Source organism: Homo sapiens, chromosome X, assembly GCF_000001405.40.
Source record: "Homo sapiens chromosome X, GRCh38.p14 Primary Assembly".
Lineage (NCBI taxonomy): Eukaryota > Metazoa > Chordata > Mammalia > Primates > Hominidae > Homo > Homo sapiens.
Window position 1 is genome coordinate 137,547,806 of NC_000023.11, and position 18,279 is coordinate 137,566,084.

The 18,279-nt window shown below is 49.0% G+C and overlaps 1 long non-coding RNA gene across 2 annotated transcripts, besides 1 other annotated feature; it reads right to left on the bottom strand.

The window, feature by feature from the left end:
• Window positions 1,121–1,929: an enhancer, noted in NCBI's record as "NANOG-H3K4me1 hESC enhancer chrX:136631085-136631893 (GRCh37/hg19 assembly coordinates)". NCBI's record gives its function as "activates a minimal SCP1, AML or CMV promoter by ChIP-STARR-seq in naive H9 embryonic stem cells {active_cell/tissue: H9 hESC(naive)}" and the evidence as "EXISTENCE:reporter gene assay evidence [ECO:0000049][PMID:30033119]".
• On the bottom strand, window positions 8,386–16,679 carry LINC02931 (long intergenic non-protein coding RNA 2931). 2 transcript variants are annotated; one of them, NR_186571.1, is made up of 3 exons: window positions 16,526–16,679; window positions 13,239–13,392; window positions 8,386–8,499 (listed from the first exon to the last, which is right to left on the bottom strand). It is a non-coding gene; the product is annotated as a long intergenic non-protein coding RNA 2931 (long non-coding RNA). The 2 variants fall into 2 exon arrangements; NR_186572.1 differs by lacking the exon at window positions 16,526–16,679 and adding an exon at window positions 16,085–16,108.

Below are 18,279 nucleotides of genomic sequence, written 5' to 3' on the forward strand. Positions count from 1 at the left end.
GAAACTTCAACGCTCTCACCCCATCCTACGGAGCCGCTAAGCAATATATAAGAAGGGTAATAACGTATTCGCTGGAGACAACAAATAATTCCCCACGTTAAAATAACTGATTGTTTTCAGAAATTTATTTTTTACATAAATATATAAAACGAATTCACGCCGATCCCCATTGCACCCAGCATTTGAGAAATTACCGAGTGATCTGTAGCTCAGAGACAGACACCGGCGTGGTCCGAGTGTTACAGCAAAGTCTCAGCACCTGTAAACTTGCAACACTGAGACAAATGAAACCCCTCGCGCCGGCATCCGCTGGCGCACAAGCTCCTGCGGCCCCCGTCGCTTGCTCTGGAACTCCTAGCTCTGGGACCACTTCCCTACCCGCAGATTTCGCCAAAGGCTATTGCAAAAACCCACCCTTTGTCTCATAAAACTACAAAGAGCCACACAGCCAGAGGCAGGCTTTTCGGCAGGCTCCTCAGCCTTCCCCGGAGATACCGGCGAGTCTCGGGTGCACCAGGCAGGAGCAAGTTTTCTCCTTACTGGGATTGGGGTGCGCCTCTCTTCCACCCGGTGGTCCTGTGCGCAGGGGTGTGCTGAGGAGACTGTAAAAAAGCTACTAACCGGCAGGGCCTGCTCTCCACGGAACAAGGCCACAGGGAGAAGAAGAGGGGAGCCCCTGGGAACAGAAGAACACCTGGCAGGGCTGGGGTGGGGATTGCAGCTAGTCCATGACCCAACTACGGTGTGAACCTGGACCCGGAAGCTGGGCTGTAAGCGGAGCTAAGGTTTCTTCTCCTCCCTATAGGGCTAGCCTAAAGATGTAGTCATTACGGAAGCCACCTTTTGGGAATGAATCGGGATGGGCAGCAATTTCCGAGGGGTGTGGGGTGGGGAAGAGAGAGCGAGAGCGAGCCTGAGGGTAGGCGGGGGCTAGCAAAAATTCGGAGAGCTGAGCACTCCCCTCGCCTTCGGCTCCCATAAGGACCCACCCCTGTCAACAAATGGTAAGTCCTTTGGGGAATGCTAGAGAAAGAAACTGGCAGGTCAGAGATAAAGGTGCGCCTGGGCGCTGGGGATGGAGTGGGAGGGCAGGGAAGGGTTAGTGGTCCTTGTCCCGTGGAAATCGTACATGTGCTCGGAAGGCTTGTGTAATTGGAGGCCAAGGGGTGCTTGTATTAGTGTGCATGAGAAAGAGACAGAGAGACACATGAGACCAAGAAGCTGAATGGACGTGTAAGTCGCACTGGACGACAATTTCAAAATGCAGAGTTTGGCTTATTATGCAAACGAATAAATCTCACACAGCTTTCACTTGTTCATCCCCTGCAGACCGTAGCGGTTTGCACTCTCCTGGTTCAAGTTCGAAGTGGAACGGGAAACAAAAGCAGGCAACGATTCCAGCGCGGCCTGAAAGACGGACCACAAAGCCTCCTCCCTCGTCTCTCCTCCGGGAGCCGGGAAGCCAATGTGACGATCAAAAGCTTCCACATCGCCCCGGCGGGGCGCGCCCTCAGCCCTGTCGGGGAGGTGGGGAATCTGCAGAAATCTAGGTCTGGAGGCTCCTGCCAATTTTTCCTTGAATCAGAGGAAGGCGCGGGTTATAGGGCCCTTTCTCCCGTGGGTTCACCGCCGGGAGAACCAAGTTTGTATTTGGCCATTCAGTGCCACCCGCGCCTGCCCTAAGGCTCCGAGGTCCATTAGGCCAGTAATCGTCCCAACTGGGGAAATGAATGGTTGGCCTGGCCTGGGGGCACCGGTTCCTTCCTGCCTGTGGGCGTCTCTAGCTGAGCCTCTGGTTCAGGGCTCTGAGCTCTGCCAAGGCCCATGTCATTTAGTGGCCCCTCCGGGGTGGGGACGGCCTCTCTCGGAAGGGTGGGGAAGTCCCTCGAAACTATGGGCAGGGAGAGAGAAGAGAGAAGAGACCCACTGCTTGTTCAAAACCAAGCCCTAACCTAAGCCAGGTCTAGGCAAGACAGAGACACCTCTTACATAGGAGTCACCGGCCCTAACTCCTCCCCGCCATAGCTCTGGAGAGGAGGTGCATCTTAAAGATGATCCTCGGCTCCTGGTGGTTGAGGTGCAGCGTCAGGTTGCACCTGGTCTTGCCTTTCCCGGCGGGCGGGCCAAGAGGGCGGCTATTGAGCCTCGCGGATCCAGGCCCTAGAGGCCAGGAAGAGGAGATCGCGCGGCCTTGATAAGCCGGATCACCAGCAGTGACCCTCGTTGACGTCGGGGTAACCCCGCTAAGTGACCGCCACGTGAGAAAGTCTGGGCCGCTCACAATGCGCCGGCGCCTCGTTAGGGCCGGGCGGGCGCTCGGGGAGCCAGGCCAGCAGTGTCCGCGGCCTCATCATTCATTCCCCTGGACGTGCTGGTAAAAATGCATCAAAATAGGCTGCGGAGCGCGGTATAAAAGCACAGCGGGATGAGCTGCTTTCCAAAAAGGATCTCGGTGATTGGACCGAGCTCGGCGTGATTGACAAGAGCTTAGTTTGGTAAAGGGAAGACACGCAAGCTTTCACAGCAGGAGCCCTTTTCTAAAATATATCACACTAGCCTTTGAAAAGCGCCGCACACTATAAGGAAATAGCGTTTCACGGCTTGCTTTATGGTGCGATGACATTTCTTTAAAACACAGCGAAGATCAAAAAAAGGAGAGAGAGAAATAAAATGTGTTGCAAACACAATGTTTTAATTAGTTTATTCTGCGCGTTGCTTTTAACTGTCGTATACATTGCGGGTTTTCCTTTAATTAAACAGTCCCTCTCGAGCGGTGGCAGGCGAGGAAGGCGAGGCGCTGCGCCCTTTCGTTTCCTTTTGGAAAAACGAGAAGGTTGGCTGGCCCCAGAGCCCAGCTCGCAGGCTCCTGTGCCCTCGCGGCCAGGATAGGCAGACTGAGGCGTTGGGGCTTCGGAAAGCGGCGGGACCCGAGCGCCCCACGGAGGCGGAGAAGGAGGGGACGAGGAGGAAAGGAAGGGGAGGAGGTTCTCCCCCGGGGAACCGAATGGGACCAAGGCAGTGCGAGTAGCTCGGGCATGGCGCCAACCTCCAATCCCCTCCCCACGAGCTCCAGCCAGCAGCCGGTGTCCCCCCGCCCCCCTAACCCGCACCACCTTTCCAAGCCCTCTCTGGTCGCCAGGGTGGTGGGGAGCGATAGGCACCAGGATGAGCCCTGCGGTTCTGGCCGTCTCCTCGGCTTTCGGGCTCCGATTTCCAGCTACTTAGCCCTCTTTGGATCCCAAAGTAGCGGATTCTCTGATTCCTGACCCACAGGAAGAAGAGACTACGCAAGCATCCGCTCGCCGAAAGCGCGGGCGCCGCAGGCGCTGTCAAAAGTGGCGCCTCAAGAAAGACGAGAGTTGAGCTAATGGGGGAATGTGTTGTGGACCTAAGCCTGTTCTTACACACACACACCCCACACTCTCACTCGTACTTACTACACGATTACTTCATGGAAACCTCTGCAGATTTCGGTTCTACCAACAACCACCCTCTCTGCTCCACACACCCCAAAGACCCGGCCTCAGCCTTAACCCAGCGCTTGAGCCTGGCATAGAGTCAGCTCATGCAGTACTCTCTCAACAATATTTACTGCTCAGGCCGGTAGGTAGTGATGGTAGGCAGTCTGTGGCCTTAAAATCAGAGGGCATTGTTTTGTTAATTCTGCTGGTGAGATCTGAAGACAATACAAACCTGCAGTCTGGTGAGAAGGTGGAGTGGAGGTGTAGATAAGAGATGCAGATGTGACCTCCTAAATGAACCACAGAACACAACCCAGTAAATTCATGGACTGGACATAAGGCTTTCTCTCCTGTCCAAATGTATTTCTTCTACTAAAACTGGGAATGGAAGAGACTGAGTCAAGGTTTTTTGCCTAGTGTGTTTGGGGCAGGGGGTGGGGAGAGTAGGGAGGGAGATGGGGACAACCACCATGTGGCTGGGGTGCCTCCTTTCCACTTTTTGCTCAGAGGAAAATTTTCTCCAGATGTCTTTCCTTTCAAGGCAATGAAACAGAAAGCAGGTTGAGCCGTGGGATGCCTCTATGGCCTGTTTGACTAACTGAAGAGGTCTGCAATGTTGCTTCTCCCACCAAAATTTTTTTTTTTTTCGAGACGGAGTCTCACACTGTCGCCCAGCCTGGAGTGCAGTGGTGCGATCTGCGCTCACTGCAACCTCTGCCTCCCGGGTTCAAGCGATTCTCCTGCCTCAGCCTCCCAAGTAGCTGGGATTAGAGGCATGCGCCACCATGCCCAGCTAATTTTTTTGTATTTTTAGTTGACATGGGGTTTCACCATGTTGGCCAGGCTGGTCTCGAACTCCTGACCTCGTGATCTGCCTGCCTCGGCCTCCCAAAGTCCTGGGATTATAGGCGTGAGCCACCATGCCTGACCTAATTTTTTTTTAACATTTTTGTTTAAACATTGAGATTTGTGTAAATGTTTGAAATTATGCTCCTCAGGGTAATGGACTCCATTTTATTTATTTATTTATTTATTTATTTATTTATTTATTTAGTGTTTTGGAGACAGGGACTCTCTTTATTGCCCAGGCTGGAGTGCAGTGGTGAGATCTCAGCTCACTGCAACCTCTGCCTCCCAGGTTCAAGCAGTTCTCCTGCTTCAGCCACCAAAGTAGCTGGGATTACAAGTGTGTGCCACTACATCTGGCTAATTTTTGTATTTTTAGGTGAGATGGAGTTGCATCATTTTGTCCAGGCTGGTCTTGAACTCCTGACTTCAAGTGAACAGATTCCATTTTACTTTATTTTTTATTTTTATTTTCATTTTTGAGATGGAGCCTCACTCTGTCGCCCAGGCTGGAGTGCAGTGGCATGATTTCGGCTCACTGCAACCTCTGTCTCCTGGTTTCAAGCAATTCTCCTGCCTCAGCCTCCCGAGTAGCTGGCATTTCAGGAGCACACCACCATACACAGCTAATTTTTTATATATTTTTGGTAGAGGCAGGGTTTCACCTTGTTGGCCAGGCTTGTCTCGAACTCCTGACCACAAGTGATCTGCACGCCTTGGCCTTCCAAAGTGCTGGGATTACAGGCGTGAGCCACCATGCTCAGCCAGACTCCATTTTAAATCATATACACCCTCCCCATGTAATAGCAATAGCACACATAAGCAGCACATGATTATAACTGGATGGACCTTTTAAAACAACTGCAAAGATCACTTGATAATAATCAAAATAATTCATTTAATATGTAGTTTCTATGAATCACAAAAGTCAATATTACAGGGCATATGCACAATATAGGCTCTCCATTGTATTATCCTTGGAGGGACCTTTTTCTTTACATTATTTGTGATGTACACATATATTATAAAAGCAATCAGCAAAAATTAAGTGACATGTGTGATGGCAAAGTAATGCCAAGCCAACTCCCAGAGCAGTTTGCCTCCCAATTCATTTGAACATTACATTCAGAATAATGACTTAAACCCACCATGGCCACAGAATGAAACCATAGCTCAAGAAGTAAAGCTCGTATACGGCACTGAGCTACAGAGTGCTTTTCCATAGCTAGCCTTCTGTGTGTGTGTGTGTGTGTGTGTGTGTGTGTGTGTGTGTGTGTGTGTGTGTGTGTTGTGGGGGAGTTATGGAATTGTGAAGTTAAAAATAATAATAATGAGCCTCAAATTTTTACCATGTAATTTTAAAGTCTGTTTTAATGAGGAATATAAGGAATATTAAATGGACTTTCTGATCTTAAAGACTATATGTTGCAGCAGGAAAGGACACAAATAGAATATAAAAGAAGGCACTCCCCAAGATAATGATTCCAGTTTATTTCTTTTTTCCTCATGAAAACATGGACTTTTTTTTTTTTTTTTTTTTTTTTGAGACAGAGTCTCGCTCTGTTGCCCTGGCTGGAGTGCAGTGGTGGCACAATCATGGCTCACTGCAACCTTCACCTCCTGGGTTCAAGAGATTCTTGTGCCTCAGCCTCCCGAGTAGCTGGGATTACAGGCATGTGCCACCATACCCGACTAATTTTTGTTGTTGTTGTTTTTTGTTTTGCTGTTTTTTTTTGAGATGGAGTTTCGCTTTTATTGCCCAGGCTGGAGTGCAATAGTGCGATCTTCACTCACTGCAACCTCCACCTCCCAGGTTCAAGCGATTCTCCTACCTCAGCCTCCCAAGTAGCTGGGATTACAGGCTTGTGCCACCACGCCCAGCTAATTTTGTATTTTTAGTAGAGATGGGGTTTCACTATGTTGGTCAGGCTAGTCTCGAACTCCTGACCTCAGGTGATCCACCCACCTCGACCTCCCAAAGTGCTGAGATTACAGGTGTGAGCCACCACACCTGGGCTAATTTTGTATTGTTTTAGTAGAGATGGGGTTTCATCATGTTGGCCAGGCTGGTCTTGAACTCCTGGCCTAAAGTGATCCACCCACCTCAGCCTCTCAAAGTGCTGGGATTATAGGCATGAGCCACCACACCCAGCGGACTCTTTTTATAATAGTTCCATTTGGGTATTTGTTCCAGCAAACCCCAGTAACACATCTGAGTAGGAAAAGGCATAACCAAGAGAGGCATGTGTGAATAAAAAGAAAGAAGCTCTAGGGCCAGGCACAGTGGCTCACGCTTGTAATCCTAGCATTTTGGGAGGCTGAGGTGGGTGGATCGCTTGAGCCCAGGAGTTTGAGACCAACCTGGACAACATGGCAAAACTCTGTCTCTACAAAAAATACAAAAATTAGCCGGGCATGGTGGTGGTGCCTGTAGTCTCCAGCTACTTGGGAGGCTGAGGCAGGAAGATCACCTGAGCCCAGAAGGTCGAGGCTGCAGTGTGCCATGATTGCACCACTACATTCCAAATGAGTGACAGAGACCCTAAGAAAGAAAAAGAAAGAAAGAAAGAAAGAAAGAAAGAAAGAAAGAAAGAAAGAAAGAGAGAAAGAAAGGCTGGGTTCAGTGGCTTACGCCTGTAATCCTAGCACTTTGGAAGGCCCAGGAGGGTGGATCACGAGGTCAGGAGATCGAGACTATCCTGGCTAACACGGTGAAATCCTGTCTCTACTAAAAATACAAAAAATTAGCCGGGCGTGGTAGCACATGCCTGTAGTCCCAGCTGCTTGGGAGGCTGAAGCAGGAGAATCGCTTGAACCTGGGAGGCAGAGGTTGCAGTGAGCCGAGATTGCACCACTGCCTGGGCAACAGAGCAAGACTCTGTCGAAAAGAAAGTAAGGAAAGAAAGAAAGAAAGAAAGAGAGAGAGAGAGAAAGAAAGAAAGAAAAAGGAAGAAAGAAAGAAAGGAAGGAGGAGAGAGAAAGAGGGAGGGAGGAAGGAAGGAAGGGAGAGAGAGAGAGAAAAAGAAAGAAAGAAAGAAAGAAAAGAAAAGGAAAAGAAAGAAAGAAAGAAAACCTCTGACAGTTACCCTAAAGTTTCAGATAATCCACATAGGATTATGAAATATTCCTTCTAAAACTGCTACAATGTTTTGCTAGCCCAGGTGCAAGACTGAATCTTGACATCATTTCCTGGTATCTTCCCCCACAGTACCCCCAGGATGTCTTACATGTAGCATGCAAGCTATAAACATTTTGAAGGGGCAGGTGTGGTGGCCTGTACCTAAAATTCTAGCACTTAGGGAGGCCAAGGTGGGGATTGCTGGAGCCCAGGAATTCGAGACCAGCCTGGGCAACATAGGGAGATACTGTCTCCATGAAAAATTAAAAAAAAAAAAAATAGCCAGGCGCAGTGGCATGCACCTGTGATCCCAGCTACTTGGGTGGTAGGAGGCAGGAGGATTGCTTGAGCCCGGTAGGTCAAGGCTGCAGTGAGATGTGATCATGCCACTGAACTCCAGCCTGGGTGAGAGAATGAGAACCCTGTCTCTAAAAATAAAATGAAATAATTTGAAGAGTGAAGCAGCTAATGTATTGCTTGTGTGAATAAAAAGTTTTTCCACGGGGGAAAAAAGGGTTCAGTTTCAAGTCACTCTGCAACTTGCTTGCTCCCATCTGTCCCTGCCTTCCACAACTTGGAGCTGTCCTCAAAGCCTGAACCAAACTGCATGATACCTGGACAGTTCTGGTTTTTGCAATCATCTAGAAATTGAGAGGCATAAGGTTCCCCTCACCAGTTCTTGGGATTCCACCTAGGGTGGGGGGAGAAACAGCAAAGGAAATATCACTGGGGAACAATTCTTAATGAGATGGCATGCTCCGAATCTCCACTCCCCTTCTTTCTTCTAGAAGGAGGTCAGGAGTGGATCTGTTGAAAACGGGGAGAAGTAGAATTAGAACAGCCCTTTTCATCAAGTAGCTCCATCCCTCACTGTCTTACAGGGGGAAATTTCGTTCTGCAACAGCAAAAGTGTAGCCCTTTAGTTGAAATAAAATAAATGGTTCCAGGTCCATAAGCATATCATTTCTTTACCAGACCTTTATTTCTTCCACCTCAGATCAGGGCAAGGGTCATTTCTAAAAGCAGGATGAATAACGTAGAAGTTGAAGGCGGGATTTTTCTTCATGGAAACATCTGGTAGGCAAAATAAATAGATAGAGATAGCAGTCTGGAGTGGGAACCCCAAGTTTATTCTTAGAGCACTTCTAGTTGAAGCATTTCTCAGACCTTAGTGGTATTACCAGGGCCAAGAATGTAAGCCTGGGAAGGCTGCAGGGTGGGAGCAAAGAGGCTCTAGATATTGACTAACTTTAACACAGTGGCTCCCTCATTAGAATCACCCGGGGAGTTTCAAAAATAGGCCACGGCACCCTTCCCTAGACCAAGTGAGTCAGAAGCTCTGGGGTTGGTCTGACCATCTGAATATTTCAAAGATTCCCAGCAAACTCCAATGTGGAGCTAGAGTTTCTGGTTCTACTCAATTGCTTCTGGAGCAGAGGGCAGGCAACCTCTCCCCCCTCTCAAATTGAGGGAGGGGATGTGAAATTTAATAGCAGAAACTAAATATTGCAATATAAGTCTCTAATTGAGAATCACAAAAACAAGATATCATGTGGGAGCTAGAGCTTTTAAGTGTGTGTATTAAGAAAATGGGTCCCCTTCTGCCAGGCACAGTGGCTCACGCCTGTAATCCCAGCACGCTGGGAGGCCAAGGCAGGCAGATCACCTGAGGTCAGGAGTTTGAGACCAGCCTGGCAAACGTGGTGAAACCCCGTCTCTACTAAAAATACAAAAAAAATAAAAAATAAAAAATAGCCAGGTGTGGTGGCAGACGCCTGTAATCCCAGCTACTCCGGAGGCTAAGGCAGGAGAATCACTTGAACCTGGGAGGCGGAGGTTGCAGTGAGTTGAGATAGCACCACTGCATTCCAGCCTGGGTGACAAGAGCAAAACTCCATCCTTAAAACACACACACACACACACACACACAACAAAACAAACAAACAAAATAAAAACAAAGAAAAGAAAAGAAAAGAAAATGGGCCCCCTTCCATACCCAGGGACATATTAGAAACTCAGGAGCTGGGCGCGGTGGCTCACGCCTGTAATCCCAGCACTTTGGGATGCCGAGGCGGGTCGATCACCTGAGGCTAGGAGTTGGAGACCAGCCTGGCCAACACAGTGAAACCTCATCTCTACTAAAAATACAAAAATTAGCTGGGTGTGGTGGTGGGCGCCTATATTCCCAGCAACTTAGGAGGCTGAGGCAGGAGAATCGCTTCAACCCAGGAGGCGGAGGTTGCAGTGAGCCAAGATTGTGCCATTGCGCTCCAGCCTGGGCGACAAGAGCGAAACTCTGTCTCAAAAAAAATAAATAAATAAATAAAAGAAAGAAAGAAAGAAAGAAACTCAGGAAAACAGGCAAGTGTGTACAGATGTGCACTACAACTAGTGGTTATGGGCTACCAAAACTACCCAAAACTTCAGTTTGCTTAAGTAGGCAGTGGAGGCTCCCTTGCCTCCAAACAAACTTAGAGCCTAAAACCACCTTAAAAAGGAGAAAGAGTTAAGAGGTAAGAACTAATGAGCTTTTCTAAAGTGGGAAAGGAGTATTTCAGTGATGGGGAGAGGGGTCTCCTGGAATGTTTTTGAGGCCACTGAGCTGCTGACAGGTTCAGCTTTTGGAACTTGTACTGATAGGAGTGAGGAAAAGGACACTGTAGGCCATGTGTTTTTCCTCTTTCATTTAATAGGTAGATAGATAAGAACTTCCATGGAGGAATGTGTGATGAGGGTGGGGAACAGGGGAAGAGGAGAACGGATGTCTGCTGATAAAACCTGCTTCACTCTGTCCTTGGTCCTCAGGAAAACTTGACCTTTAGCCCTGGATGGCTCGAGAGGGGCCTCTGCACAGCCCAGTGTGGACTGAAGTTTGTGCATCCAGGTTGGGAGGGCAGGGCTAAGCAGAGGGACCACAGACTCTGGCTCTGAGGATTCCACCTGTTTATAGCCCTCAAGGGCCCATAGGGGCATTCTTGCTGAAATCAGGCTCCTCTGTTCTTGAAGACAGACCCATTAAAATGAGAGAAAGAAGGACCAAGGGACGGCAAGGCGAGGAGGATTTTTTAGGCTTGGTGAAACTTGAACCCTAGAGAGCAAAGGGAAGGGGGCCTCAGGCTCACACAACCTGAGCAAAATAGGAAAGAATATGCAAGGCAAACACCCATCTCAGGTCCTGCAGGGGTGGCAGGAGGATCAGGTCAATGAATGGGACTTTGAGGCCTGCAGTGCGTGGGATCTTAAGGTCCCTAGCACGCTAGTACTCAATGTGTGCAGTACTCAATGTCTGCTGTGCTACTCATGGTGAGTAGCACAAGGGGCTTTCCTTCAGGGGCTAGGACAGGAGCAGGCACAATTAGTCACTGTTTGGGAACAGCGCCCCGCTGCCAGTCCTGTGGTAACAATCTAGCCAGGGTAGCTCCTGGGCCTCTTGATGAGAAAGGACAGGCCCGCTGAGCCAGAACAGAAATTTCACCAGGGGCTTTTCTTGGGCCTTCAGGGCCACCCTGTCCCCAAGTTGACTTTCCCACAAATGGAGCTTTTGGAAAACACTTTGGCAAGTGGCACAAAGTCAGGCTACACTTTGGTGAGAGCTCCATTGGGTGTGACAATTTAGCCTGGCTAGACCATACTCCTGAAAGTAGGAGTGCCATATAAGATACATAATGTCCTATAAAATCTGAATTGCCAATAAAGAATATTTTAGTATAAGTATCTCCCAGGCAATAACTGGGACATACTTAAACTAAGAAAAAATCGTTTATTTGAAATTCAAATGTAACTGAGCGTCCTGAGTTTTTGATGTGCTAAATTTGGCAACATTACTTGTGTGAGTGGCTATTTGGGTCTGAAAGAATTGTTTGCCAGTCTGGACCAGGTTCAAAAGGTGAAGTGTAATCTACCAAAGCTGAGTCTGAGGGGCAAGGGTTGAGGATTATGCAGCCTTATAGAGAAATTCCTGATAGGGCCGGAGTGGAAGGAAAGATGAAGGAGAGGGGAGACATACCTAAGGGGATGAGCTAAGGTAGTAGTTAGTAAGCTGGGTTGTTGGGAGCACCCTGGAATCTTTTTTTATTTTAGAGGGAGTCTTGCTCTGTCGCCCAGGCTGGAGTGTAGTGGCGCCATCTCAGCTCACTGCAACCTCCGCCTCCTGGGTTCAAGTGATTCTCCTGCCTCAGCCTCCTGATAGCTGGGATTACAGGTGCCTGCCACCACACCCAGCTAATTTTTGTATTTTGGTAGAGATGCGGTTTCACCATGTTGGCCAGGCTGGTCTTGAACTCCTGACCTCAAGTGATCCACTCACCTAGGCCTCCCAATGTGCTGGGATTACAGGCGTGAGCCACCATGCCTGGCCCACCCTGGAATCTTTATAATAACATATCTTTATAGTTTAAAGGGGAAGAGTGCAGAGAAGGAGCATAAATGTTTTGCCCAAGTCTACCAGCTGATGGCATTTGTCCTGGGAAGAAAGGGAGGGTAGCGTTTCTGGGCAAGAAGAGGAGCTGGGTGAACGCTAGGCCCTCACTGAGGAGGGGCAGTTGAGTTGGGAGGGAGTCCATCTCTCTGTCCCTCCAACCCCCTCAGGCCTAGGGAATTGGGGTCACTTCCCTCAGGCTTCCTGGCCTCACATGCCTGGCTTGGTTTGGAGCTGTCGTTGCCCCTGAGGGCTCAGTCACGCAGAAAGGGTCAATAAACTGTGTATCTCTAGCCAAAGAAGAAAGACAATAAAACCACCCTCAGGGTCAGAGGTCACCTAGTCACTGATTGAGATATTCACAACTCTTTTTCCTCTCTTCTCATCCCTTCTTTCTCCTGAGACTCCTCCTCCCTTGACTACTTTTTCCCTTTCTCCAAAGCCAAAAGTATCCCCAAAAATAACTGAGATGTGGGGCTGGGGGAAAAAAAATCAAGCCATATGCAAAATGAAGCTGGAAATCTAGGAGGGTGATGGTGGATAAAATCTACTGGTCAAGAATACCTAGCCTCTGCTGACACTACAGTCCAACCCCTAGTCCAGGGGTCGGCAAACTTTTTCTGTAAAGGGCCAGATATAAAATATTATTTTAGGGTTTTCAAACCACATTCAGTATCTGTAGCATAAATTCCCCCCCTTTTTTGTCCTTCTTTTTCTACTTCTGCTCTCTAACCCTTTAAAGATGTTTTAAAAATAAAATAAAATAAAACCATTCTTGGCTCCTGGGGCCATACAAATACAACAGGCTATGGGCCAGATTTGGCCTCCAGTTTGCAGACCATAGTCTGCCATTCACGTCCAAACCAGCAGTTAGTCTAATTCACTCCCACTCTATCTTGTTGGTGGGGAAAGAAAAAAGGGAGGAAAGGGAGGCCCTATGCTTTGTTTTAATGTCAAAGCCCTTTCCTCCCACCCCCTCACTAGGAAATAACTAGATGAATAACCACAAACCAAGTGCAAATTGCAACAGGCAATTTGATTTTACAAAATGCAATTCCTAAACTACACAAAGTTCCTTGGGAGTGGAGACAGCATTTTTCCTAGGGATCAGGAATTCTCCCTCTCAGCTTGGGCAAAAGAAAGGCGGCCTCTGCCCCTCAGCGAGGAAGGGAGAAAGAAGATGAAATGGTGGAATAGGCCTGGACTAAGGAAATGTAACTTGGGGACAAAGGGTTGGTGGGGGCTCCAGATCTAGGCACTAAGGATGAGAGTTGCTGCCAGAAGCCATAATGTGGCCCAGAGATATCTTTCCCATCACGTTGGGAGGATTCTTTCTCAAAGCAAAGAAATGAATGAACAAATATCTCAGAATAGTCTAAGGCTTCTCTCCACTTGCCTTGAAGCTAATTTACATTTTAGAACTAGTACAGCATTTAGCAGCTACAAGGAACTTGGGGTCCTGGGTAAATGTGTGCTCCAAAATGTCAGGCAAACTTGGCTCTCCAAATTGATTCTCCTTCCCCCATCTCTTCAGGTGTCTGGGGAAGGACCTGTAAACATAAATCAAATGTGTCACTGTGTATCTCAGCCTCTGCCTGCATCCCCCTCTTCTCTTGCCTGGGCACTCCCCACCTACAAGGTGTTCTGATCTAGAAGGAAGGAAGAAGTCCTCTTTCAATGTGTCTTGCTCTCCTGGCACCTGGAGCCACTGCTAGTGCAGCTGGGGGCTAACACCTAGTCACCCCCAGAGCGGTAAAGGTATTCCATGGCAGCAGAACCTAGCAGGCCACAGCTCGTCATAAGCCTTTCACTCAGATTTGCCTGAGGACCACTGCCTACCACTTGGGTGGGGTGGTTCACTGCATTTTCTATATTTCAGGGACTCCCTTTATAATTCCAAACTGGATTCTGATAGTTCTAGTTCAAGTCCCTGCCTGCCTCCTTCAAGTTCAGCCCTATTTACTTCAGCCTATGTCTCTGAAGTTCAAGTATATATATCTGTCTGCACAGCCCTGATTGACAAGTACAATGAAAATGTCTCATTCCTGTCTGGTTTGCATTTCATTACATTGGGTAACAATATGCCTTGTATTTCAGAGGACAAAGGCAAAAAAAAAAGGGGGGGGGTTAATTAACAATATCTGTTTATTCTCGATTGAATTTTAAAGGTATTTAGGGCTTATAAAATATGTGTCAAATGATAGGACCATAGTGAAAATTCTGATGTGGCCAATAAAATCTGGAGCTGTGTGATTTTACGCTCACCAACCTGCAGACACACTTGGTTGGCAAGTGTGTCAGCATGTCCTGGAGATCGATAGTTCAGCTTGGCCCCTGATGCCAATTAAGTGCTTTATCTTAGCATAAAAATAAAGAGAAGTTAAAAATGCATTCTTTTCCCAGCTTTCTTCCCCCTTCATTTTTTATTGCCACTTGCAGTTTTTCTTTTAAAAAGATCTGGGACTCTGAAGAGAGGGTGGGGATTTATGTAAAGAAAGTGTCATTTACCAGGAAAAAAGGCGAATAATGGTGAGTTTCAAGGACATGTTGCAATGAGAAACACTTTGTGCTCCACTAGGGAGAGACAGGGGCACCAAATTCAGCGTCCTGGAATAATTCCCTTCCTGGATTCAAAGATTCATTTATTGAAATAAATCAGGAAGCCTTGGCAGAACGGAAATCCGCTTGCTGGGTTTAAAGGGCCTTTAAAATGTTGCGAGTGTTAGATTGCAAGTCTTTTCTAAATACAAAACAGAAGAAAAGACCGCAGCGTTTCCCTTGAACTTAAAGAAAATTACTAGGTCACCGAATCAGGATAATTTCATGTCCACCACATAAAATGTGTTTAGAAAGAAATGCTGCATGATAACACAATGTGCTGTGTATGTTCTGTTTTTCGGAGGTTCGACGGAAGAGAAAAGTGCTGTGGAGTTGGGCTCTGGGTTGTAGGAAGAACCCGGTCCTACCCTACTGCCCCTCAGGACGTTCTGTTTCCCTACTGCTTCTTCAAGATGGATTCTAAAAATCGGGCTCAAAAGCTTTGCTGGTTTAGAAGTGATCAGTTTTTCTGATTTTATTTACTGCTTTAGATTTGGGCATAAAAATAAATCTTTTTCCTATTTACCGTTTGAACTCAGTGTGAGGGAAAGGATCCCATTATATTTCCTATCCATACAAACATGTGGATATTTAGACCCGACCACATACAACTTGGGGACACATAAAAGAGATTTATTGGTTAATTTACGTTGCCTACTACACATGTAAACCCTAGTAAGCCAAAGCTGCTGAGGGAGCCTCAGCTATAGAACCACGACCCCTGGGTTCGAGTTGTCCTCCCTGACTAGAGCTGTGACTCCTGTCTCCACCTGAAAAACGAAAACACGAGAGTTGTCTCCATCCCCTCACCTCTGCCTGTGTGTAGGAAAAACTTTTCTCCTCTTAGCTTTCCCTCTTCTGCCACCACTCTGTTCTCAGACTCAGCTCCCCAAAGCGCCCTGTTCCCCGAAGTTGTTCCCAGAGTCTCCTCTTGAAAATCAAGTTTGGGGAGGAGAGAAGCTCTAAGTCATAAGAAAAACTTCGCGATTTTTCCCCCCCAACAGCAGTGATTTGCTTTGTTGGGGGTGGGGACTTTGTTTTCATGTGCAGTAACTAGCTTTATCTGGAGGGATTTTGCTTTCTACCCTCTTTTAAGGGTCAGGGGTCCCCCTCCCCAAATAAGGAAACTCCCACTCAAACCAACTGAAACCGACTTAGAAATGGCCTGCCTCTGACCTGCTGTTCACAAAGCCCCCAGCCTCGTCCTTTTGCGCGCATCTGGGACCCCTGCGTCCCACAGAACAACGACACCCCCTCAGAACCGCACTCTCAGGATGGGCCCGGCTGTCCCGTGAAGGGCTCCATTGCCCGGGATTTTGGCCTGGCTGAATCGCCTCAGGTCTGCCCCCTTAACAAGCATCCACCCCCCCGGCCCCCACCTCCCCACTTCTCGGTTGATGATCTAATTGAATTATGCCTTTTTGTTCCAGGGACTACAGAGCACGTGCTGGAGGCAATTAATTATCGGAATGTGGCCGTATCAAAACGGACACTGGGCACCGGGTAGGTCAGCGGCGGCAACTTCCCCCTGCCTTGAGCTCAAGACCCCTTCCCAAATAGGGGCATGATGAGCTCCCTCGGCTGCCCCCCTTCTGAGCCCTTCACCCAGTTGCAATCGCGCAAGGCCCTCGATTCTCGGGGTACCTGGCGGGACTCCCCGGAAACTCTCGCATCAGCGCTGGCCCGGCCAGAGCTCGACAGCCGCCCCTTCCCGGTCCCCTAGTCTCGAGAACCGCTGTCCGCGGGACCAGCTCAGTGAGGAAATCCAAACTTTTTCAAACCAACTACTTAGCCAAGGGCGGTTGGGGTTGGTGGGAGGTGAAGAGAGGTAGAGGGAAGAGAGGAAATAAAGGAGAAAGTGAAAAGAAAGGTGGGGCGGGGGGGGGGGGGGGAAGAAAGGCAATCCTCCTTTTTTGTAAACCTGACTCCAGGGGATTCATTTGCATGATTTAAGCATATTTGTTCTCTGAACACACCAGCGCCCCCCTACCCCCCCAAAGAAACCCTCTGCTGAGAGGCACTGAAACCATTCTTGGAGAGCCTATGTTCGGCAGACGCAATAATTTAAGTCAGCAGTGAACTCACCTTCCAACCTGGGGAGAGAGCTCTGGATGTGGAGAGAGAATTGGGGCGAGTTTGATGGGAGGGGGTGAATACGGTAAGATGTGCTACCGGTAGGGTGTTCTCCCAGCAAACTGGCTAAGAAAGAAGGTGAAGTGTTGGCTGGGCCAGGCAGACTGGGGAGCAGGAAGTGAAAGGCTGCAGTTATAAAGCGCTGCTTAAGGCGGTCTCTCCTGGCGCCTCTGAACTTGATCAGATGTTCTATTTCCTACAGAGAGATGGCGGCCAGGCTGTGAGGCTGCCTCAAGGCGCAGACTTTGGGGCTTGGCCCAGCTAGGGATGTGACAATCACAGCCATCTTTCTCTCTGCCTTTTCTTTCCACTCTCTTCTGCATTCTTTGCAAATGCCTTGCAGGACACAAAAATGAGTGAATTTATAGCCTTGTCTGAACCTGGTCATTATGTCAGAAAGACCTTGCAACAGACAGAAGGCGAGAGGACTTTCACACACACCCCTGGAAGTAAATCCTTAAGGGGTAAGCAGTCCCTGAGGTCACTACATGCTTTACCTTCTCCGGGTAGGAGTAGAAGAGAGTAAAGCCTTGGCTGTTCAGAGGAAAGAAAATTCCATGTCACAGTCCCCATTCAGCATCAGCAACCCCCAACACGACTTTTGCATTTGAAAATGTTGAGAATTCAAAGCTGATTAGCCTAGTGATTTGGAAACCACCCTGATACTGTGTGTGTCTAGTGTGTTTATTATGTGTTTAGTGTGTTGTGTGCATGTTTTGCGTACACTGGCTAAAAGTGTTCTTTGCATGTTTTGTATTTGTGGGTATGCTCGCTGTTATGTGTATTTGCTCTGTTGTGTTTAGTTGTGTTTCTGTGTTTGCTGTGTTGTGCGTAGTTTATGTTACTGTGTTGTATGTGCTTACTTTGTTGTGTTGTGTGCGTATTTCATATGTCGTGTTTGTTTCCTGTGGTGCGCTTGTGTTTACTGTGTTGTGTGCTTGTTTCCTACTGTGTGCTTGGGTTTACTGCGTTGTATATGTTTGCTGTGTCGTGCCCGGTGTGTAATTCGGGAAGTGGGCAGCGGCGAGTACGGCCGCTGCTCACAAACTAAAGGGTCAACGCTTGGCGCAGACGGAAGTAACGGAGATCAGCTCTAATTGTAATCGTTTCTTCTCCTTTGGGTCTCGGACAGCTGCCGACAGGTTGGGGGCACAAACGGCGAACTATCCCGGCCTGGGTCCCGGCCTCGAGGCCATCAGAACTCGCAGTGATTGGAGGTGGACGCAGCGGCTGGACCGGGAGCGCGAAACTGCTGCGCTCTCCCCAGGATCTGCGCCCTGCAGCTACAGAGGGGACATGTTCTCAAGGTGGTGAGGCAGCGGGGGCCCAAGCAGGACTGGACGTTGAGCGCCGCGTCTCCTCCATCGGCGCAGCAGTGGGACCGATCCTCGCGGGGCAAAGAGCCCGCGAGGGGTGGGGGAAAGCCCGCGAGAGTCCCGGCGGCGTCCCGCCGTTTGCCGGCTGGAGCCTGGCCCCAGTTCCCCGCAGCCACTCAAGCCCGGTGGAGCCCACTCGCGGCCGCCCGGCAGCCGCCGCCTCACCTGCCAGGCACCCGGCGGCTGCCCAATCAGCGGGGGTCGCTCGGCCGCGGCTGCCATGTTCTCCGCTCCGCGCTGCCAATCAGCCTCGCGGCGGCCAATGGGCAGTCCGGCCGGAGGTCAGGTGACCGCGGGCCAGCTGGCTCCCCATTGGCGCGCGCCTCGCGG